The following is a 20,487-nucleotide window of genomic DNA, read 5'->3' on the forward strand; positions in this document are numbered from 1 at the left end:
ACTGAGTGAGTTCTCAAGAGATCTGGTTTTCAAAAGTTTGTGGTACATCCCCCCTCTCTCTCTTGCTCCTGCTCTGACCATGTAAGACGTGCCTGCTTCCCCTTTGCCTTCCACCATGATTGTAAGTTTCCTGAGGTCTCCCCAGAAGCAGAAGTCGCTATGCTTACTGTACAGCCTGTGGAACTATGAGCCAATTAAAACTCTTCTGTTTATAAATGACCCTATCTCAGGTATTTCTTTATAGCAATGCAACAGACGAATACAGTTGGTGTTCCTTTAACTGTGGTATAAATTGAGTATAGTCAGTTGGCTTATTTCTGGATGCTTCCAAAGAGCCAGGGCTCTGTACAGGATCTTTATGTGAAGGTGAACTCTTGCACTTGGTTTCACAGGCGTATACATTAGCAAGATAATTTTTGGTGTTGTAGTTTGGGCTGCAATCCAGTAGATAGCTAGTGCATAAGAGTAACGGTGGGTAACTAGGCTAACACTTAGCCACATGGCTCTTCTGTACTTCTTCACATTCACAGGCATGCTCTTCAGTGGTGATGGCGGGGACAGGATAGAAAGGACCACCTCACCAGCTCTGCTCCAGGGCCTTAGGGGAAGCCCCCTCTGATCATTCACTCCATGCCCACATTACTTTTGTTAGGTGATTTGGGTTGCTGGGTCCCCTTGTGCAGGGACTATGACAGGGAGATATGCCAAAACTTTTCTGGACTGGCCCTGCAAAGGGAGGCATGCCCCACTCTTGTCCTTGCCCAGGAACCCATGCATCTCACCCCTCTTAGCTCTTGAGGGTAGGGGCTCCTCCCCAACTCAAGTGCCAGCCACAGATCTCAGCTCTGTACTCCTGAGTTGAATGCCGCAGCCCTGGGGGCACTGGAATGTCCCATGGCTCAAGGCTGAGTTCAGGTTATACTGGAGGATTCTATATGCTACAGCAATCTATCTTGATCTGATATCTCACTTTGGAATCTGATATCTAGTATCTTAGCCAACTTGTCAATTTTACATCCAGATCACATATTATCACATATAATAAAACTTTCAAATAAAGACTTTTATAAATGTCTTATTTTAATATATCCATCCTCCCCATACTGCCAGCTGTTTACCATAGAAATATGGCATACCTTTTATTCCTTTATAATTATTGGATGTCAAATGTTTTTTCAAGAACAAATTGGATTGATAGCACTTTAAGGTTTACAAAGGCATGTGTAAACATTCCTTCATTATTCAAACAATGCCACAAGAAGGTAAAATAGGTATTCTGATCTCCACTACTAAGGGCTTTAAACAGTTTAACTGGCTGAAGGTTTCACAGGTAGTAAATGGCAGAACCAGAACATGGGCTCTTAGAGAAAATACTTCGGTGGTATAGTACAGGTAAAGGTGGGGTGGGGGATTCAGGGGGACAGGTATACATGGGTATTACTGAACTGCAAGCTAATTTCTTCATCTGTCAAATAGGGTTATTGTGATTATTAAATAAGTTAATAAGAGTAAAGCATTTATAATAGAACCTAGCGCAGACTAAGTGCTATAGTTTGCTATTGTTAAAACTATTATTAATTTGTTCTATTCCAGGTCAGATTTAATTTCCCAGCATCAACAAAAATCAATAAATAATACTGAAAAGTAAAAAGTAATAAGTTATGCTAAAAGAGTGTCTACTTCTCCAGTTCACATATTGAAGGGCATGTTATAGGTACTATGTGCAGCTTCTGTGGCTCACCAGTTACCAAGGTCATAAAGACCTTTGTTATATACAAATATGGGGCAAACAAAATAAAATAGTGAACTACAATTAGTTGGCCACATTATTATTATTTGTCCATTCACTCAAAACCATTTATAGAGAACCCCCTATGCACAAGGCAGACTGACAGAGCAAGGAAGCAAAAATGAACAGAAATAGTCCCTGACATAAGAATCTCTTAAATGTGCTCTACAGTAATGGCACCAAAGCAAAAAAAAAGGCCTAATTCTACATTTCATTGTCAAATGCCTAGTTAAAGTGAGTAACTAACATTCTCATGGATTACTATGGTAAAAACAAGAGTTACTTTAGGGCTGTCTAGGATAATTTCTTCTAACCATGTAAAACCAAAAGAATAACAATTTAACTTTTAATTACAAAATAATAAGGAACGACAAAAAAATCCAAACACTATCAAAAGATATAAAATGAAAAATTCTCCTCTACTATCCTTTAAAACCCCCAGTCCCCTTCTCCAAATAACTGCCATTATATTTCTTATATATGTTTCCATATAATTACATCTTCATGCTTTAAGCATATGCACAAACACACATGGTATATTTAGAGATATACATTCTTAAAAATTCATACCACATATATGAACACTCCATTAGAATTATATCATACATCCTGCTCTGCAGTTTGCCCTCACTCCCACTTAAACATGTATCTTGACAAATTTTCCCTACCAGCATGTAAAACTTTCAGATTCATATACGTAAATTGGTATCAGAAAATAGCTTGTTAGGTCATAAGTTACTAGAAATCCCTCTTAGAGAATGTTGAATTGAAATGAGAATGACTGAAATGTTCACTATACACATTTTTGTCACAGTTGAGTAGCTAAATTTAATTCTAATACAATTTGTTTCACCAAGAAACAAAAATGTATATCCTAATATAATTCAACTTTTAAAACTGTAATCTTTTTTCCCCAAACATCGACAATATTCTGCTGTAGTCTATAGATTTATGTTGCTCTATGTCCATCACAAACCCAAAATACAAAGTGTATCAAGAAGCCACACTAGAACACAATGAAACAACAGGACTTCAATTGAATATTACTATGTAAAAAGCCTTCACGTCAAAGAAAGATAAAAAAATCAATTTTTCATGATCATAATTATAACATGATCTTACCATACAGACTTTTAATGCAAGTAGTGCTAGTCTCAACAGACTTGAGAGCTTCCCACTCCAACTGCCCCGTTGGGATGCCAATTGTAGACTCTTTCTGTAACACATCTCTGCAGCTCTCATCATTCCTTGGGATTGATACACATGTGCCAGCCACTAAGAAACAAAAAAGGAGAAGGAGGCAAAGGATTTTAGTTTATTATGCAGTCTGTTACCCCTACTTCCAACAAATTCAATAAACTTTGTCGTAGTAAAAATGTTTTTAGTTATTGGTAAGTTCTGTGCCCAAAAAACAATTACAGGTCAAAAAAGGGCTGTCATATTGCCAATTCTTTTAACAACAGCTGCCTATTAGCAAATTGACCCCGGCAATATATAAAAACAATAATATATAATGATCAACTAGGGCTTATTCTAAGAATGCAAAGTTGGCTTAATATATGAAAATCAATGTAATCTACCACATTAACAGAATAAAGAAAAAGATTAATAGATGCCATTAAAAAAGTTTTAATAAAATTCAAGACCCATTATTTTTTAAGAAAAAACTCTCTTAGCATATTCAAAGTAGAATCTTCTTAATCTGATAAGGATATTTATAAAAACCTATAGCAAACACCATACTTAGTAATGAAATAGTCAATGCTTTCTACCTGAGGTAAGAAGAAGACAAGAATGTTTACTTATCACCACTTTTGACATTGTATTAAAGGTTCCAGACAGTACAATAAAGCAAAACAAACAAATCAACAAAAAACCTTAATATGTAAATATTGGGAAGAAAAAAGTAAAAGGGGCATAACTATATACAAAATCCAAAACCTTTCAAAGAATAAGTGAATTTAGCAAGGTGCTGGAAAGTCAACGTATAAAAATCAACTGAATTTTTAAATGTTTGGAAATGATTTAAACACACACACACAACAGAACAACAACAAAAAATACCAAATACCTAGAAATAAATTTAACACAAAAGTATAAAAGACCTCTAGGTTGAAAATTGCAAAACAATGCTGTGAGAAATTTCAAACTAAATTAAATAGAGGAATATACCACATTTGTGGACAGAAAATATTCAGTAGAGTATTACTTTGTCAATTGTCCCCAAATTAAACTGTAGATTCTAAACAATCTCAATTAAGATCCCAGCAGAGCTTTGTTGGGTGAGAATTAACAATTTACAGTAGACCCTCTCCTTAACTGTGGTTTCAGTTACCTGTGGTACAACACAATAAAATACTCTGAGAGAAAGAGGGAGACCACATTCATATAACTTTTATTATAATATAGTGTTATAACTTTTATTATTATTGTTGTTAATCTCTTATTGTGCCTAATTTATAAATTAAACTTTATCATAGGTATGCATGTATGTATAGGAAAAAACATTGTGTGTGTGTGTGTGTGTGTGTGTGTGTGTGTGTGTGTATAGTTCATTACTATTTGCGGTTTCAGGCATCTACTAAGGGTGTTGGGACATCTCCCCCGCAGATAAGGTAGGACTACTGCATTTGGAAATGCAAAAGACCTAAGACAAACTTGAAGGAGAACAAAAAGTTGGAGGTTTTAATGTTACCACATATTAAGACTAATTATAAAGCTATACTCAAGAATAAAAAACAAAAGATTAAAAAATAGACCAATGGAAAATAAGGAGGCCTGAAGACCCATACATACACAGCTGATTTATGACAAAGGCATCACTGTAATTCAATGGGGACTGAATAGTCTTTTCAAAGATTGGTACTATGTTAATTACGGGTAAAAATAAACCTTAACTCCTGCAATATTCACAAAGATTAATCCAGGATAAATTATAGACCTAAACATGAAAAGTAAAACAATAAAATTTCTAAAACAAAATATTAAAAAAAACTTCATGAACCTAGAGTAAGCAAAAAGTTCTTAAATAGAATATCCCAATAAAGCATTAACCATCATCAGACTTCATCAGAATTAAGAACTATTCATTAAAAAATAACATTAATAAAGGCAGCCATAGGTGTAAGAAAATATTTTCAATAAAAATATCCAAAAATGTGCTCAGATTCAGGAAATATAATAAATTCCAATAATTTAGTAAGTAAAAAATGAAGACTCCATTAAAAATTATGCAAAGCACTTTACACAGAGGATATCCAAAGGCTCAATAAGCATACGAAAAGTTGTTTGATGTCATTAGATATCAGGTAAACACAAGTTAAAATCACTACAATATATTATTACCTACATATTCACCAAAATAGGGGAAAAACATGACAATCTAGCAATATCAGCACCTGGAATGCTCATGCACTGCTGGTGCAAGTGTAAAGTGGTATAACCATTTTAGATAACTCTTTGGCAGGATCTACTAAATTAACCATACATATACCCTATGTCCCACCAAAAAGCATGACCAAGAATGGTCACAGCAGCATTATTCATGCTAGACAAAACCTGGAAACACCCAAATGCCCATCAACAGTAAAATGAATAAATATTATCGTATGTCCATAAAATGAAATGAAAAAAATTATGGTACATGAAACCACCAAATGAATCTCACAGACATCCTGTTGAGTGAAAGTAACCAGATACAAAAGAGTACTACTCCATTGATATGAAGTTCAAAAACAGGAAAAACTAAATAGAGGTCAGAATAGAGGATTTCCTTGTTTTGGGGTGGGGGGAGTCAAGCAAGAAGATCAACTGACAGAGGCCTAGGGGAAGCAGTTGGGTTGCTAGAACTGTTCTGTATCTTGATATGGGAGGTGTTAAACAGGTATGTCATATATAGAGTAGTACTTTTAAGATTTTTACACTTTATTCCTTGTGAATTATATCATAATATAAAAGAAAACACACACATACACACACACATGCAGTCTCTTAAGACTTTACTTATTGATATGGTTTGGCTGTGTCCCCACCCAAATCTCATCTTGAATTCCCATGTGTTATGGGAGGGATCTGGTAGAAGGTAACTGAATCATGAGGGGAGGTCTTTCCTGTGCTGTTCTCATGATAGCGAATAAGTCTCACAAGATCTGATAGTTTTAAAAAGGGGAGTTTCCCTGCACAAGCTCTCTCTCTTGTCTGCCGCCATGTGAGACACGCCTTCCTCCTTCCATCATGATTGTAAGGCCTCCCCAGCCACAGAGAACTGTAAGTCCATTAAACCTCTTTCTTCTGTAAATTGCCCAGTCTCAGGTGTCTTTATCAGCAGTGTGAAAATAGACTAATACACTTATGATATAATTTATCCTTCAATTTTTCCCTTTTAGTTTGACAATGTATTTCTCCCTTTGATAATGAATATGAAATCAACAACATCTAGTTGTTGATTAAGTATCTAAGGTCAGCTAGATGTTCTGAGGTCAACTAGATGTTGATCTTAAATCCTAAATCTCATACAGAAAACTTACTCTAAGAAAGGGGAAAAAAGAATTACAGTAAAAGGGAGGCTTAGTTTTCATAATCCAGTAATTTTATGCCAGATAATTTTTTCAAATTATCTAAAGCAGGGATATAAAAAAGCTGATATAATAAAAGATCAGAATAAAAAACAAATTATAGTAAGATAATAAGCGTCTATAAATCTATATCAAAAAGCCCTTTTGATACTTTCTCTGGGGCACAGAGGAAATATAATAAATTGTATAAAATAATTATGTGCTTCCTTGTATTTTAATATCAATAAGAACAAAGCACACAGTGATCATTGTGCATTTGTCACTGTGGATAACCAGAGCCACCTGAAAGAGCAGATGATCTGTTGATTCAAGCATCAATCCTGAAAATAATTATTTCTAAAAGCACTAAATACAGGTTATCTGTAAAGTAGCTAGGGAGAAACTATACATATCTCCTGTAAAAGCAGAGTTAAACACCATTATGATACCCTTATTATAAAATGTCTATAACATATCAACCCATATAAAAGACAGTATTTTCATCACCGTTTTAAAGTGAGAAAATTTAGAATCAATAACTTAAAAAGCTTTAAATCATCATTGTAGCAGATCCAAAACTAGTGTTAAACTTCCTTAGTTCCTCTAACCACAATACCTTTTAGATCTTGAAACTGAGAGATAACATGGTGAGAGTGACAGCAAGCCAAATAAAAATGGAGCATAGCCCTGACATTAACTAATATTATGAAGTGTTTTAATTGAGGACTCAAGTAAGAAAGGAGAAAACTTACCTGCCAAGCTGGAACAGAGGTTGAGTTGGACATGACTGTTTTTTGTAGTTCTTCAAGTACAGCATCTGGGAGTGGCTTTTGTGACTCCAGGAGTGGTTTACACTGAACTTGTCTCAAAAGTAAGATAACGGCTGGCTGATCAGGGTTACTTTTTAAATTCTAGAAATCAAATCCCAAAGAGGAACACATCAAATAGGTTCTTAAGTGTTAAAAGTAAAAAGCATTATTCTCCAAGTTGGGAAAATAAAATTCTGAAGGTTTATACCTTTTCTTATTAAAGAGAAAACAACTGCAAATAATTAAATAAACAAAACAATGAACAGCCTGTAAATATCAAACTTTACATTAAAATAACCTTTAAAATCAGTAATGCTATTACTGTAGTCTACATGTATTTCCCTTTGACTTAGTTTACTCTTAAGTGATATCCTGAAAAATTTAGGTTCTAAATGTAAGTAAATAGTTGAACTAAGAAAATATAAATATAAAATTAAGTGGGAATGCTATCACTATTCCATACTGGAATAAACTATACTATGTAAGAAGAAAAGAGGCATACATTTTTTTCTTTCTTAACCTCTTAACAAAGGTATTCACTCTACATGTCTTTCTTCTAGGCACAGCCTTTTCAAGTACTGCGAGTAAGAAAAATGACCTATTTTCCCCATTTCCTTAAGCTACTGTTTCTATCTTAAAATACTTACCTACATACATACATAAATGTATTGTATATACTTATATTCTCTGTATGTGTATATATTTTTATATATATGAAGAATTTCTGTAAACAAGTCCTCCCACTATTGTTTCAAATATTTCTTTATTGCTTGTCCCTCAATAGCATACTTTTCTATTTTTTACTCATTAGATCTTAAATGTATTTCTAAAATTTATTTGATTGCTTTCTTCTAAGTAAGAGATTGCAACAACAAACCGACAAGGAAAGGTTCATTAGGCATCACTTATTCTATCAGAGGGCACATAGCAACTGTCAATTTATGCTTAGTAAACACTTACTGTGTAATACCCTGTCCTGAACTTAGATGGAATTCCTTAAATAAAAGAAAAAATGTATCACTCTGCTTTTCATAGAATTTAAGAACCAAAGAAATCTTCAAAAGTCCATTCTTCTTTCTCTGTAAAATGTATACTGATCTTTCCAAAAAAATTACACAACCTCCATGGTAAGCAATTATGAAATACGATGTTTTCAGGAAAAGTCACGTTCAAAACTCTCTTTAACCATTACATTATTTCTAAGTGAGCTTTGGAAACTAATTCATTCTTTCAGTAAATATTTATTGAGCCCCTACTATGTTCTAGGCAAGGTAATACACATTTATTCACAGAGCCTGCAAGCATAGAGCCCTCCAATCCTGGCATGTAAAAACAGACTACTGAGTAGATTCCAGTCACCCACTCAACAATCTCCACAGTCATTCTATGTGATCCAGAACTTTGGAAAACTGAAGGGATACTGGAAAATATAGCATTAAGAAGGAACCAATCAGAAATCAAAGGAAAATACTGCCTCTCTAATGACACCCAAATAAAAAATTTTTTAAAGACCTATAATAAGAGCTTGAGTCCTAGAGTCAGACAAATGTGAGTTCAAATCACAACTCTATCCATTCCTAATTGTAAGCTCCTGTGCACATTACTTATCCTCTTTAAGTCTTAGTTTTTCTTATCTGTAAAAATGAGGATAATAATAAATACCTATATATAAGATTGTTGTGAAGTTCAAATACAAAATGCTAAATGCAGTGACTGGTTTGTGGCAAGTACAGTAATCAATAAATTTTAGTTGTTATCATCATAATTGTCATCACCACCACTACCTGCTCTTTAAACAACATGCATTCCTCTTTTTTTTTTTTTTTTTTTTTTTCCAGACAGGATCTCATTCTGTTGCCCAGGCTGGAGTGTAGTGGTGTGATCATGGCTCACTGCAACGTCAAATTCCTGGGCTCAAGCAATTCTCCTGCCTCAGCCTCTCGAGTAGCAGGAACTACAGGCATGTGTCACCAGGACCGGTTAATTTTTTAATTTTTTGTAGAGACAGCCTCTCGCTATGTTGCCTAGGCTCGTCTCAAACTCGTGGCCTCAAGTGATCCTCCCATCTCAGTCTCCCAAAGTGCCAGGAATACAGGAGTGAGCCACCGCATCTAGCCTCATACATTCCATTTTTGAAGTTATTTTCCCAGTAAGATAAGAATCCATGAGTTTCAATGCACATTCCATAAAATACCTTTGTGCAGAGAGTTTCAGCTTCAGATATTCTTCCTGTGTCTATTAGACCAGTGACAGCTTGTGAGAGAGACCACTTTTCAAGGGACTGGTTGTAATTTTCAAAGAATTTTTCGTCTTTAACTGTAAACAAAAAATGTCAATGTTACTTTCTTCTGCAATTTATAATGTGTTCTTAGAGGAGTAACTGGTTGCTAAAAAATTACCGTTGGGCTTATCATCCATACACAGTTTTTCAAAGTTACATGTGCCACATGTACCATAGACTATCCTGACAAGTGGCAGGTTTCTGAAAAGTTTCATGGCAGGAGTATTTGTGGCTAAATAACTCAAAGCCTCATATAATTGTGACTTCTAAAGAAAAATAAAATAATTTGCTGAAAACATGTAAAGATTTACTATGATATAATTGATGTAAAATAAGCTGCACATTTTCAAACTATACAATCTGATGATATTTGACATGTATATCAGTGAACCATCACCACAACCATGATAATGAACATATTCAGCATTATCAAAATTTTCCTCTTGTCCCTTTGTAACCACTTCTGTCCCCAACCTACTCCATCCTCCCTTAGCCCCTGTCCCCAGTCAGCTCCTAATCTGTTTTCTGTCACATAGGCCAATTTGCATTTCCACAAATTTCATATAAGTGGAATCATATAGTATAAACTCTTTGGCATCTTTCACAGGTGCTAATATGGCAAATTACCTTCATTTTCAAATGGTACATCAATCTTGCATTCCTGGGATAAACCATAATTGATCATAATGTATTATTATCATTTTTATGTATTGCTGGATTTGAATTGGTGAAGTGTTGTTATGAATTTCTCCATCTACCTTCACAAGCAATGTTGTTCTTTGCCTGGTTTGGGTATTAGGGTAATGCTGGCCTCATAGAAGATGTCAGAAGTGTTACTATCTTAGATTTTCTGAAAGAATTTGAGTAGAATGGGTATTATTTTTCCTTAAATATTTGGTAAAATTCACTAGTAAGTGAATTTAAGATAGCTATTCAAGATAGCTGATTAGATGCATTCGGTGCTCGCCTCGTCCATGGAAAGGAACCAAATAGCAAGTAGATAATCACACTTCAGATATATTATCTAAGAAAGCACACTGGACCTCAACAGAAAAGTGACAGGAAACACCAAAAGCAAGGAAGGAGAGGGGAGTGAGGTCGTCTGCTCGGCTGGGATCAGCTGGGAGCCTAGAAAGGCTCCTGAATGCAGGGAAAGGATAGGAAAGAGACCCCTAACAGTTTACATTCCTACCATGGACTCTGATAATTCTAGCCATAAGACAACCTCGTGACCCTTGCAGGCCCTAAAACTAACATAGGGAGTACATAATAATGGCATTGGTCCAAAGTGGGAGCTCACGCTGAGTCCCACAAACCCCTGAGTCCTAAGCAGCTAGAGTGAGGCACTATTTTGAGAGCCCAGCCCTCTACCAGGCTGTGTCTTGCCATGCAGCCCAACAGCCCCTGTATCTCCACAGTCCTAGAGCCCCACTGATATTCCCTGCCCACAGCCACTGCTGCTGGAGCTGAGGTGAGAGCCACTGTCAACCACCATGAGCTGCTGGTAAGGAGCAGCCATGCATATTCAAGTGCCCTGAGAACAAATTCCACTGCCCTGCAGCTACCACTGCATTAGAATACAGCAGAGCTGAGGCATCACTGAAGGCTGCAACCCTATGGCTGCTCACACTGAAAGCAACCCCACCCTACCTAGTAGCAGGGTCACAGTGCAGCAGCTGCTGCTCCCAACAAAGCATTTGCTGGCAGCCCGGCATCACTCTGCCCCTGCCTATCACAGCCAGGGCCCGCATGCACCACCAGGGAGCCTAAGGACAGTCTACCTGGCCTGGCTCCATTCCCCAGAGTACCCAAGCATACCCTCCTGGGGCCTCGGGATTGCCCAGCTCAGACCACCACCATTAGTATTTGAGCACTCCTCTGGGGTCTGAGGTTGGGCCCATCCAATCTGCCGCTAACACCGCAGCTGGCACTCACTTACATGTATCACATTGTTGGCCTGGAGACTGGTGTGCTCAGTCCATTGCAGCCACCACCAATGCCAGTGTGGACTGCTTGGGTCCCAGAGGGTTGGTCCCACTGCCACTACCATCACCCACACCACGTGTGCTGCCCAGGGACTCAAGAACACACCCACCTACCCAGCCGAATTGTGATGGTTAATACTGAGTGTCAACTTGATTGGACTGAAGGATACAAAGTATTAATCCTGGGTGTGTCTGTGTGGGTGTTGCCAAAAGAGAATAACATGTGAGTCAGTGGGCTGAGGAAGGCAGATCCACCCTTAATCTGGTGGGCACAATCTAATCAGCTTCCAGCAAATATAAAGCAAGCAGAAAAACACGAAAAAGCAAGACCGGCCTAGCCTCCCACCCTACATCTTTCTCCCATGCTGGATGCTTCCTGCCCTCAAACATCAGACTTCAAGTTCTTCAGTGTGGGGGCTGGGACTGGCTCTCCTTGCTCCTCAGCTTGCAAACAGCCTGTTGTGGGACCTTGTGATCCTGTAAGTTAATACTTAATGAACTCCCCATATATATATCTCCTATTAGTTCTGTCCCTCTAGGAGAACCCTAATACACCAATGCTGCCATTCCTGGAACCTGGGCAATCCATCTAATAGAGGCACAAGAATGGGCCTGTCTAAACCCACTAACACCAGGACATTGCTCTGGCATCCAAGGACAGGCAAGCTTAGCCAACTGCTGCCACCACTAGGACCCAAAGACTGGCCTATCTGGCATCCCAGGCCCCACCATAACTTCACCAAGCCTCCACTAACAAGTACATCCTAACAAACCAAAGAAATCACAAATATCACTGATGCTGTCTACAGCCAAAGAAATCAGAGACTACATTCAGAATCAAAGCCAAAGTGACCTACCCAAACAACACCATGGATACATCTTCAGGAAAAAGTGCTCCCCTACGAAAGAAAATTCCAAAATTGGAAGTGACTGTTAGACTAGATATGCATATATCAATGTAAGGACAAAGGAAACAAGAAAAAGCAAGGAAATATGACACTTCCAAAGGAACATAATAATTCTACAGCAACAGATCTCAATCAAAAAGAAATTTATGAAATCCTAGGGGAAAAATTCAAAATATTGATAATAAAGCAGCTCAGTAAGATACAAGAGAATACTAAAAACCAGTACAAAGAAATTAGAAAAAGCAATTTAGGACATTAATGAAAAATTTACCAAACAGATGGATATCATAAGAAATAACCAAACAAATTCTAGAAATGAAGAATTCATTGAATGAAATACAAAATATATCTGAAAGCTTCAACAACAGACTAGATCAAGCAGAAGAGCCTCAGAACTTGAAGACAGATCTTTTCAAACAACCTAGTGAGACAAAAATGTAAAAGAATAAGCAAAGCCTACATGACATATGGAACACCATAAAACACCCAAATATTTAAATTTTCAGTGTCCTAGAAGGCAAAAAGAAAACATAATTATTTTGTTTAAAAAAACTATTTAACAAAATAATAGATGAAAATATCCCAATTCTAGCAAGAGATTTAGACATCTGAAAACATGAGGAGGCTTAGAGATGCACAAATATTTACAATTCCAAAAGATGTTCTCCATGGCACACTATAGATAACCCATCAAAAGTCAAAGACAAAGAGAGAATACTAAAAACATAAAGAGAAGAGCATACTACTTATAAATGAACACCCATCAGACTAACAGCAGATCTGTCAGCAGAAATCTTACAGGCCAGTAGAGAATAAGATAATATATCCAAACTGCTGAAAAGAAAAAAACTGTCAGCCAAGGACACTATACCCAGCAAAGTTATTCTTCATAAATGAAGGGAAAATAAAGTTTTCCCAGACAAGTAAAAGTTGAATATCACCACTAGACCAGTCCTACAAGAAATGCTCAATGGAATCTAAACCTAAAAGAGAACAGACAACATTTACCATCATGAAAACACACAAAAGTAAAAACTCACTGGTAAAGCAAACATACAAAAGAGGAAGAGAAAGGACACAAATGGTACCACTACAGAAAAGCACCAAAATACAATAACACACAATAAAGAGAGAAAGAAATAAAGAATATACCAAAAAAAAAATCAACTAATTAAACAACAGAAATAAGGCAACACACATCAATGACAACCTTGAATGTAAATGAATTAAACTTTCCATTGAAAATATATGGATTAGCTGAATGGATTAAAAAAAATTACCCAACATATGCTGCATACAAGAAACTAGTCTCACCTATCACAACACATATAGGCTGGATGTGGTGGCTCACACCTGTAATCCCAATACTTTAGGAGGCCAAAACAGGAGGACTGCTTGAGCCTAGGAGTTTGAGACCAGCCTGAGCAACATAGCAAGACCTCATTTCTAAAATAAAAAAATTAGTTGGGCATAGTGACTTGTACCTATGACTTGGGAGGCGGAGGCAGGAGTATTACTTGAGCCCAGGAGTTTGAGGTCAGTCTGGGCAACACAGCAAGACCTCATCTCTTAAAAAAAAAAACAACTAAAATAATGATAGCAACAATGTATTTGATTATGTGTGCTTACGTGTGTGTGGATGTATACAGACTCGTATGCTTATGTGTAAGCAAAAGAGCAATGACATAAAGGACAATAATTAGGATTGTTTTACTATAAGGACTTGCACTATCCATAAAGCAGTATAGTGTTAGTTGAAAATGGAGTTGGATTAATTCTAAATGTATATTGCAACCAGTAAAAAAGGGCAACCAGTTAAAAAAAAAAAAAAAAAGTAGAAAAGGAAATACAACTGACATGCTAACAAAGAAGAGAAAATAGCATCAAATAAAATGCACAATTAAAACTACAAAACACAGAAAAATAGTTGGACAAAAATGGAAACAAAAAACAAAGGCAACAAATAGAAAATGGTAAAATATATGATAGATACTAAACCAATTATATCAACAATCACTTCAAACACCTATAGTCTAAACATAACCAATGAAAGAAAAGAGATTGTCAATGCGGATAAAAAATAAAAATAGGTAGATTGTTCTTTCTTTTAATCTGAAGAGCATGGCTTCAAAATAACTATGTTATAGGTATTTCTGAATTACCACTTAATAAATTCATTTTATTAAAATATTTCAATCTTATATAATCTAATACCATTAAACAAAAGCCTACTTTTCTTAATTTGCCCTAGTAGTCAAAAGACAGGCAGTAATGATGCTTAACATTTACTAAAAAATGATTAATAACCTAAAATTAATTCAGTGAAAAGCTAATGTCCCAAGACAAAAGTAGGCTAATCTATTTATTAATTTAAGTAGGTTAATCTATGTCACCTTTCAGTGAAGAAATTTATAGATTTACAAAACAATGTTAACTAAATCTGATTAGATTAACAGCTTATTCTGACCAAGATTCCCAGGAGGAATCATGGGACAATTTCAATGCTGGTTTCAGTAAAGGACTCTTTCCAGGTCACCTTTATCCTAAAATGCTGGTAAAGTCTCAAAGTAAGTAAATGCTACAAAACAAAGATTTCAGCTAACAGAACCCATTGGGCTTTTAAGCTATCTGGAAGAGAAAATACATATGCTTATCACACTTCTGTACAAACATTTTACTATGGATTTTTAATGAATATATATATATACATTATTTAAATATATATATTCATTAAATAATGTATATATATATTTAAATAATGTATATATATATTCATAAAAATATACATATATATATATATATTTTTTTTTTTGAGACGGAGTCTCGCTCTGTCACCCAGGCTGGAGAGCGGTGGCGCAATCTCGGCTCATTGCAAGCTCCGCCTCCTGGGTTCACGCCATTCTCCTGCCTCAGCCTCCAGAGTAGCTAGGACTATAGGTGCCCGCCACCACGCTCAGCTAATTTTCTGTATTTTTTAGTAGAGACGGGGTTTCACCATGTTAGCCAGGATGGTCTCGATCTCCTGACCTCGTGATCTGCCCATCTCGGCCTCCCAAAGTGCTGGGATTACAGGCGTGAGCCACCATGCCCGGCCTAATGAATATATTTTTTATAACAACATATGCTGAAGCCGTTTGTATTCTGGATTTAACCATTCAAGAAATCTGAATTAAATCATGTATAAAGATGCTTTTAAAAACTTACTTGAAGCAGAAACAGCAGATAACAGTGCCAAGTATAAATCTATCCTCTTTGGCTGAGTGTTGTTCACTAAGGCCAGTTTATCATCAGCGTGACAGGCTGCCATTAGCCCAGCCCAGATAGCAGGATCACCTGAAAACAGGAAATACACAGTGATAAGTCTTGTTAAAATCAACATGTTGCTTAAAAACTATCAAAAATGAGATTAAGAGTTTACAAGTTAAAAAAAAATTGTATCTAAAAAAAAATTTCACTTTCTCAAAGGAAAATTAAATTGCACTTGTTTTCAGAGACACATTGCTACATTCATCTTTCCAGATTTGCCAATTTTTCCAAACATATCAGAGGATGATAAACATCCTATTAAGCTGTTCATCCATGGCTGGTTAGCTCAGCTGCCTAGAGTGCTGTATTACTGTGGAAAGGGCAATTAGATTCACTTTCACTGGACACCAAGGACAAGTCTCACTCATCTTCATGACTTAGTAGTTGCTGTTTTAAAGACTCAGTCCTAGGACAAGGAAGATAACACAATTTTTCAGTTCTTAAGAAAAGTTTAAGCCAAAGGAAAGGCTCAAGATTTTAATTATATTCTAATAGGCAAGCAGAAAAGTCACTTCATCATTCCAAGTGAAGCATTTATATGACTATCTATCCCTCATTCATTTGATCTTTTCTTCTTTCCTTCATCCTTCACAGCAGCTTCAGGGTAGGGAGAAGGAGAAAAGTCCAACAGCAGTGAGTTGGAAGGGAACTTTTTATGCATAGAAAAGATTATGCATAACGACTTCTCTTTTTAAGAAAGCTGTGAAAAAAAGAAACGTGAAGGGAATATGGAATTTAGAAGTTTTTTCTTTTCATTTGTTTGGTCATTTATTTTTATAAAGCTTATTTTGCTGTTTACTTCAGCAAGTTAATATTTTAGTCCTGCTACTCTTAAAAAAACAAATGAATGCTTTTAATATCTCACAAGGGGGTGCTAGTTAACAATATAGACACTTGATCATACTTATTAGCTTTAGTTTTCTATTTTTTCTTATCTGACCACCCCACCCAATATATGTTTCTTATCATATATCTGAAATATATATATACTTCAGTTATAGGTGACCAGTATTATTGCTAAAAGTACAAAAATCAACAAAATTACAAGAATCATTAAAATCTTATGCAGATCAAATACTTTTACAAAAAGTTAAATGCATACCTCCATATTATGAAACAATTTCTGCTCCAAATAATAACTACCTTATTTTAAGGAACACAGACATCATCAAATTCCAGAATAAACAAATGGGGACTATTTCCTAGAATTTATGATGAAATCTGATTACTATATAAAGAAAGGCACATGACAGCCTTAGATCTGGGTTTCAGGTCTAGCCGTGCCACTAATTAATGTGTGGTAGTTCTTCCTTTAGGATTCATTTTCCTATAAAACAAGACAACTGGCCGGGCGCGGTGGCTCACGCCTGTAATCCCAGCACTTTGGGAGGCCGAGGCGGGCGGATCACGAGGTCAAGAGATCGAGACCATCCCGGCTAAAACGGTGAAACCCCGTCTCTACTAAAAATACAAAAAAATTAGCCGGGCGTAGTGGCGGGCGCCTGTAGTCCCAGCTACTTGGGAGGCTGAGGCAGGAGAATGGCGTGAACCCGGGAGGCGGAGCTTGCAGTGAGCCGAGATCCCGCCACTGCACTCCAGCCTGGGCGACAGAGCGAGACTCCGTCTCAAAAAAAAAAAAAAAGAAAAAAAAAAAAAAAAAAAAAAAAAAAAAAAAAAAAACAAGACAACTAAACTAGATAACAGCTGAGGTGCCATAGGGTCTTAAATTCTATGATTCCAACTGAAGTAGACTCAATCTCTGAATATTAACTTAATCCTAAGATTAAGGGGATAGCTACTTTAGGGATCTTACAGTATTGTATAGTTTGCATTTCTGATTGGAGAATGGACAATAGCTGGCAGCAATTTCTTCTATCACAACACAAAATAATTACTGTTTCCATGAACTCTTCCATAGATAACCAGCAACCCAAATTCCCTATAAAATAAAGTGACTCTAAGATAATATATAAACTACAAACCTAAAAATTTTAAAATATAGCTTGCTAAAGATAACTTTTAGTATCACAAAAGCACTAATCTAGCAGAAATTGGATTTTTTTCCATTCAGTTCTAAATTCTTGTAATTATCTTTAAATTCCTGACAAGACTCCCTGGAATAGCATCTATCAAAACTGTGCTTTGTTCATCTAAAGATCTACAAGGACTAAGTGTACAGCCACTACACATAACTACAGTTATATTCATTTTCATTGGACTCTAAGGACAAGTCTCAAACAGGCACTCATCTTTGCCACTCAGTCACTGTTTTAGCATCTTATGGGATGTCTCTGCTTCCTTGAGTATGTATTTATCCAGATAATCTGGGAACATCAGAGATCATTAGAGAGGACCTAATCTGGGCAATCTCACCTTTCTAAAGTTTATGTCCTTACACAATCAAAGGCTAATAGATCTTTTATCATTCTGGATCCATGATAAGAATTATTGAGAGTAAGTCTATCTAATATCTGCTTGAGAACTCCAAAAATAAAAAACCTACCAATATATATATAACATAGACAAATCAAAATGTTTAGTCTCTTTTTGTTTCTATGTCAAAATGAAAGAAAAGATAAACAACAGAATATTGACTTTTTTTACTTAGTTTACAAAATAATCCCTGAAATGTTAACTATTTTGCAGCTTAATGAGGGTCTTTACAATTTATTGTGAAGATAACATTGAACTTGTTCTTGGTGTAATTTTTTTCCCAACAGTGCTTAGGCAAAAGCAATAGCATTCTGATCTAACACATCTGAAGAGTTAAAAGGGAATACATTTAATACATTATTTCATATTTAAAATAATATTATATTATATAAAAATATACCTTATAACCCTATACTGCTAGACATTCCAGTCTTCTATGGCATTTTTCCAGTAGTGGTGATGGAACACGCTTAAGTAACATTCCTCAGTACTTTTGTGATCAACAGCCTATATATGACACAGTTAGCTCAGGTGAGGCCATAACTGTGGCATTTCTAACAGTTACCACATAAGATACATCCCCATCCTTCAAGAAGCTAACTACACGTAAAAATATCTAAATATGTATGTTAAATAATTTAGTAACTATAGGTAAAACTCTTTAAACCATATTGATGCAAAATGGAAATAAAACTGTTTCTTGAAAATATGTGTATAGTTCAGATTTTCAGTACCAGGTAATAAAGTATCATTAAGCAGACATTCCTTTAGGCCTCTTTCAATAATTGGTGCTCTCTTAATAATCAGTAGCCAAAAGCAGATAATCAAACGATATGCAAAATCTTGAAATATTTTCTTAAAATTCCCTTTTGCCTTATTTCATGGAAATATAAACTTTGCTCCTATAAATCACAAATAAATGCAAGATTGATAGAATCTAAATTCAAGAATGTAAATGTACTGAATTATCACATGCACCTTGAAACTATGTAAATCTATAATGCATCAATTTAAAAAGTCCTTTCTGATAGCATTATATATTGTATTAAACACTTACATAGTGCAAAGTACTTTAATCACCCAAACTCCTGTTGTAGAAGATCTAAATTACACACATTTTTGTCTGGTATAAACAATGCCAATAAAATATATATTGTGTGCAAGATTTTTCCCCCACTTACAAAATATGTATTTAGAAAAAAAAAGAATTGGAATTAATGAAATAGATATTATATGCACCTGGAGAAAGGAGAGCTGCCTTCTGAATGGTCTTTAGTGCAGTATTTTTTTCATCTTCTGCTGAACTGCTTCCCATAGCCAACTGATTTACCGCAGTGTACAGTAATGCCTTCTAAATAAGAGAAAAGATGTTAGCCAATTTTCCTGATAGCTCCCTCTCTTTCAAACTGACTAAAAGACTCTATTTGATATGACATAATCCCTAAGACTATGAAAACTATTATTCCTTCATCAATATTATTTAATAAATTCAACATTTCCTTTGTACTAGGACAAACTAACCTTTCCATGATTTGAGTCCAGAATATGAGCCACATTTCCTGCTACAACACCTCCCTAGAACAGAAAATATTGATGATTTATACAAATGCAGAAACTTTCATGAAAAAGAAAAAATTAAGATTGATAAGACCTTTCCACTAAATCACTGGAAAGGTTCAGTTTTACCACATTCACAACTCCTAAACTTCTTAAAAGTATCAATTTATTATTGTTGTTTGAAAAGACTAATAATCTTGTGAAAGGAAATCTTTTCTACTGTGACCAACTCTACTTTCAAAATATTCATTTGAAGGTTCAAAAGTTATATAATTTTACCAACGAAATGTACACATTTTCTAACAATATAAAATATAAAGACTGAGAGAGATCACAAAGATAAACTAACATGGCTTACTATATGAAAATACATAGTATTTTTAAAACTTACATACTCTAGTAAAATAAATAAAGTTCAAGGCACCGTGAAGCTCATCATTGCTTCAATAATCAACTCAATACTAAAAATAAGAAAAATACATGTAGCATCACAGTGTTTTCATTAGGTCAATTTGAAATCTATAACTTTAAATAATTGCAGCTACTTCAAATGGCTGTTGAGATTATAAAAATGCTGATAGCTGACACATAATAAAGCACTTTATTCAGGTAATTTTAGAGTCGAGTAACAATGGTCTTCCAGGTCCTTTGAGCCAACTTACTCACTAAAAATAACTAAAAATATGAAATAAAACCCTGCTGATCAAACTGTGGCTTGTGCATCTGCAGCGTCCACACTCTCTAAGAGGTTGTTAGATGTGCAGAATATTGGGTCCCATCTCAAGCCTACAGAATTAGAAGCTGCATTTTCACAAGATGACCAGGTGACTTCAGTTGCACATTAAAGTTTGAAAAGCACTGAGATA

The 20,487-nt window shown here is 35.6% G+C and overlaps 1 protein-coding gene across 2 annotated transcripts in view, besides 2 other annotated features; it reads right to left on the reverse strand.

The window, feature by feature from the left end:
* SKIC3 (SKI3 subunit of superkiller complex) overlaps nucleotides 1–20,487 on the reverse strand; it is a 91,084-nt gene that overhangs the window by 11,485 nt on the left and 59,112 nt on the right. For both annotated transcript variants that reach the window (NM_014639.4, XM_047417937.1), the window contains exons 35-40: nucleotides 19,586–19,639; nucleotides 19,304–19,415; nucleotides 15,530–15,658; nucleotides 9,346–9,467; nucleotides 7,095–7,253; nucleotides 2,912–3,064 (exon numbers count right to left, since the gene is read on the reverse strand). In NM_014639.4, coding sequence (NP_055454.1) covers nucleotides 2,912–3,064; nucleotides 7,095–7,253; nucleotides 9,346–9,467; nucleotides 15,530–15,658; nucleotides 19,304–19,415; nucleotides 19,586–19,639 — 729 coding nt within the window. The remainder of the gene's footprint in view (nucleotides 1–2,911; nucleotides 3,065–7,094; nucleotides 7,254–9,345; nucleotides 9,468–15,529; nucleotides 15,659–19,303; nucleotides 19,416–19,585; nucleotides 19,640–20,487) is intronic.
* Nucleotides 10,694–11,312: an enhancer, noted in NCBI's record as "H3K27ac-H3K4me1 hESC enhancer chr5:94821776-94822394 (GRCh37/hg19 assembly coordinates)". NCBI's record gives its function as "activates a minimal SCP1, AML or CMV promoter by ChIP-STARR-seq in naive H9 embryonic stem cells {active_cell/tissue: H9 hESC(naive)}" and the evidence as "EXISTENCE:reporter gene assay evidence [ECO:0000049][PMID:30033119]".
* Nucleotides 11,313–11,929: an enhancer, noted in NCBI's record as "H3K27ac-H3K4me1 hESC enhancer chr5:94822395-94823011 (GRCh37/hg19 assembly coordinates)". NCBI's record gives its function as "activates a minimal SCP1, AML or CMV promoter by ChIP-STARR-seq in primed H9 embryonic stem cells {active_cell/tissue: H9 hESC(primed)}" and the evidence as "EXISTENCE:reporter gene assay evidence [ECO:0000049][PMID:30033119]".

Source organism: Homo sapiens, chromosome 5 (assembly GCF_000001405.40).
Source record: "Homo sapiens chromosome 5, GRCh38.p14 Primary Assembly".
Taxonomy (NCBI): Eukaryota; Metazoa; Chordata; class Mammalia; order Primates; family Hominidae; genus Homo; species Homo sapiens.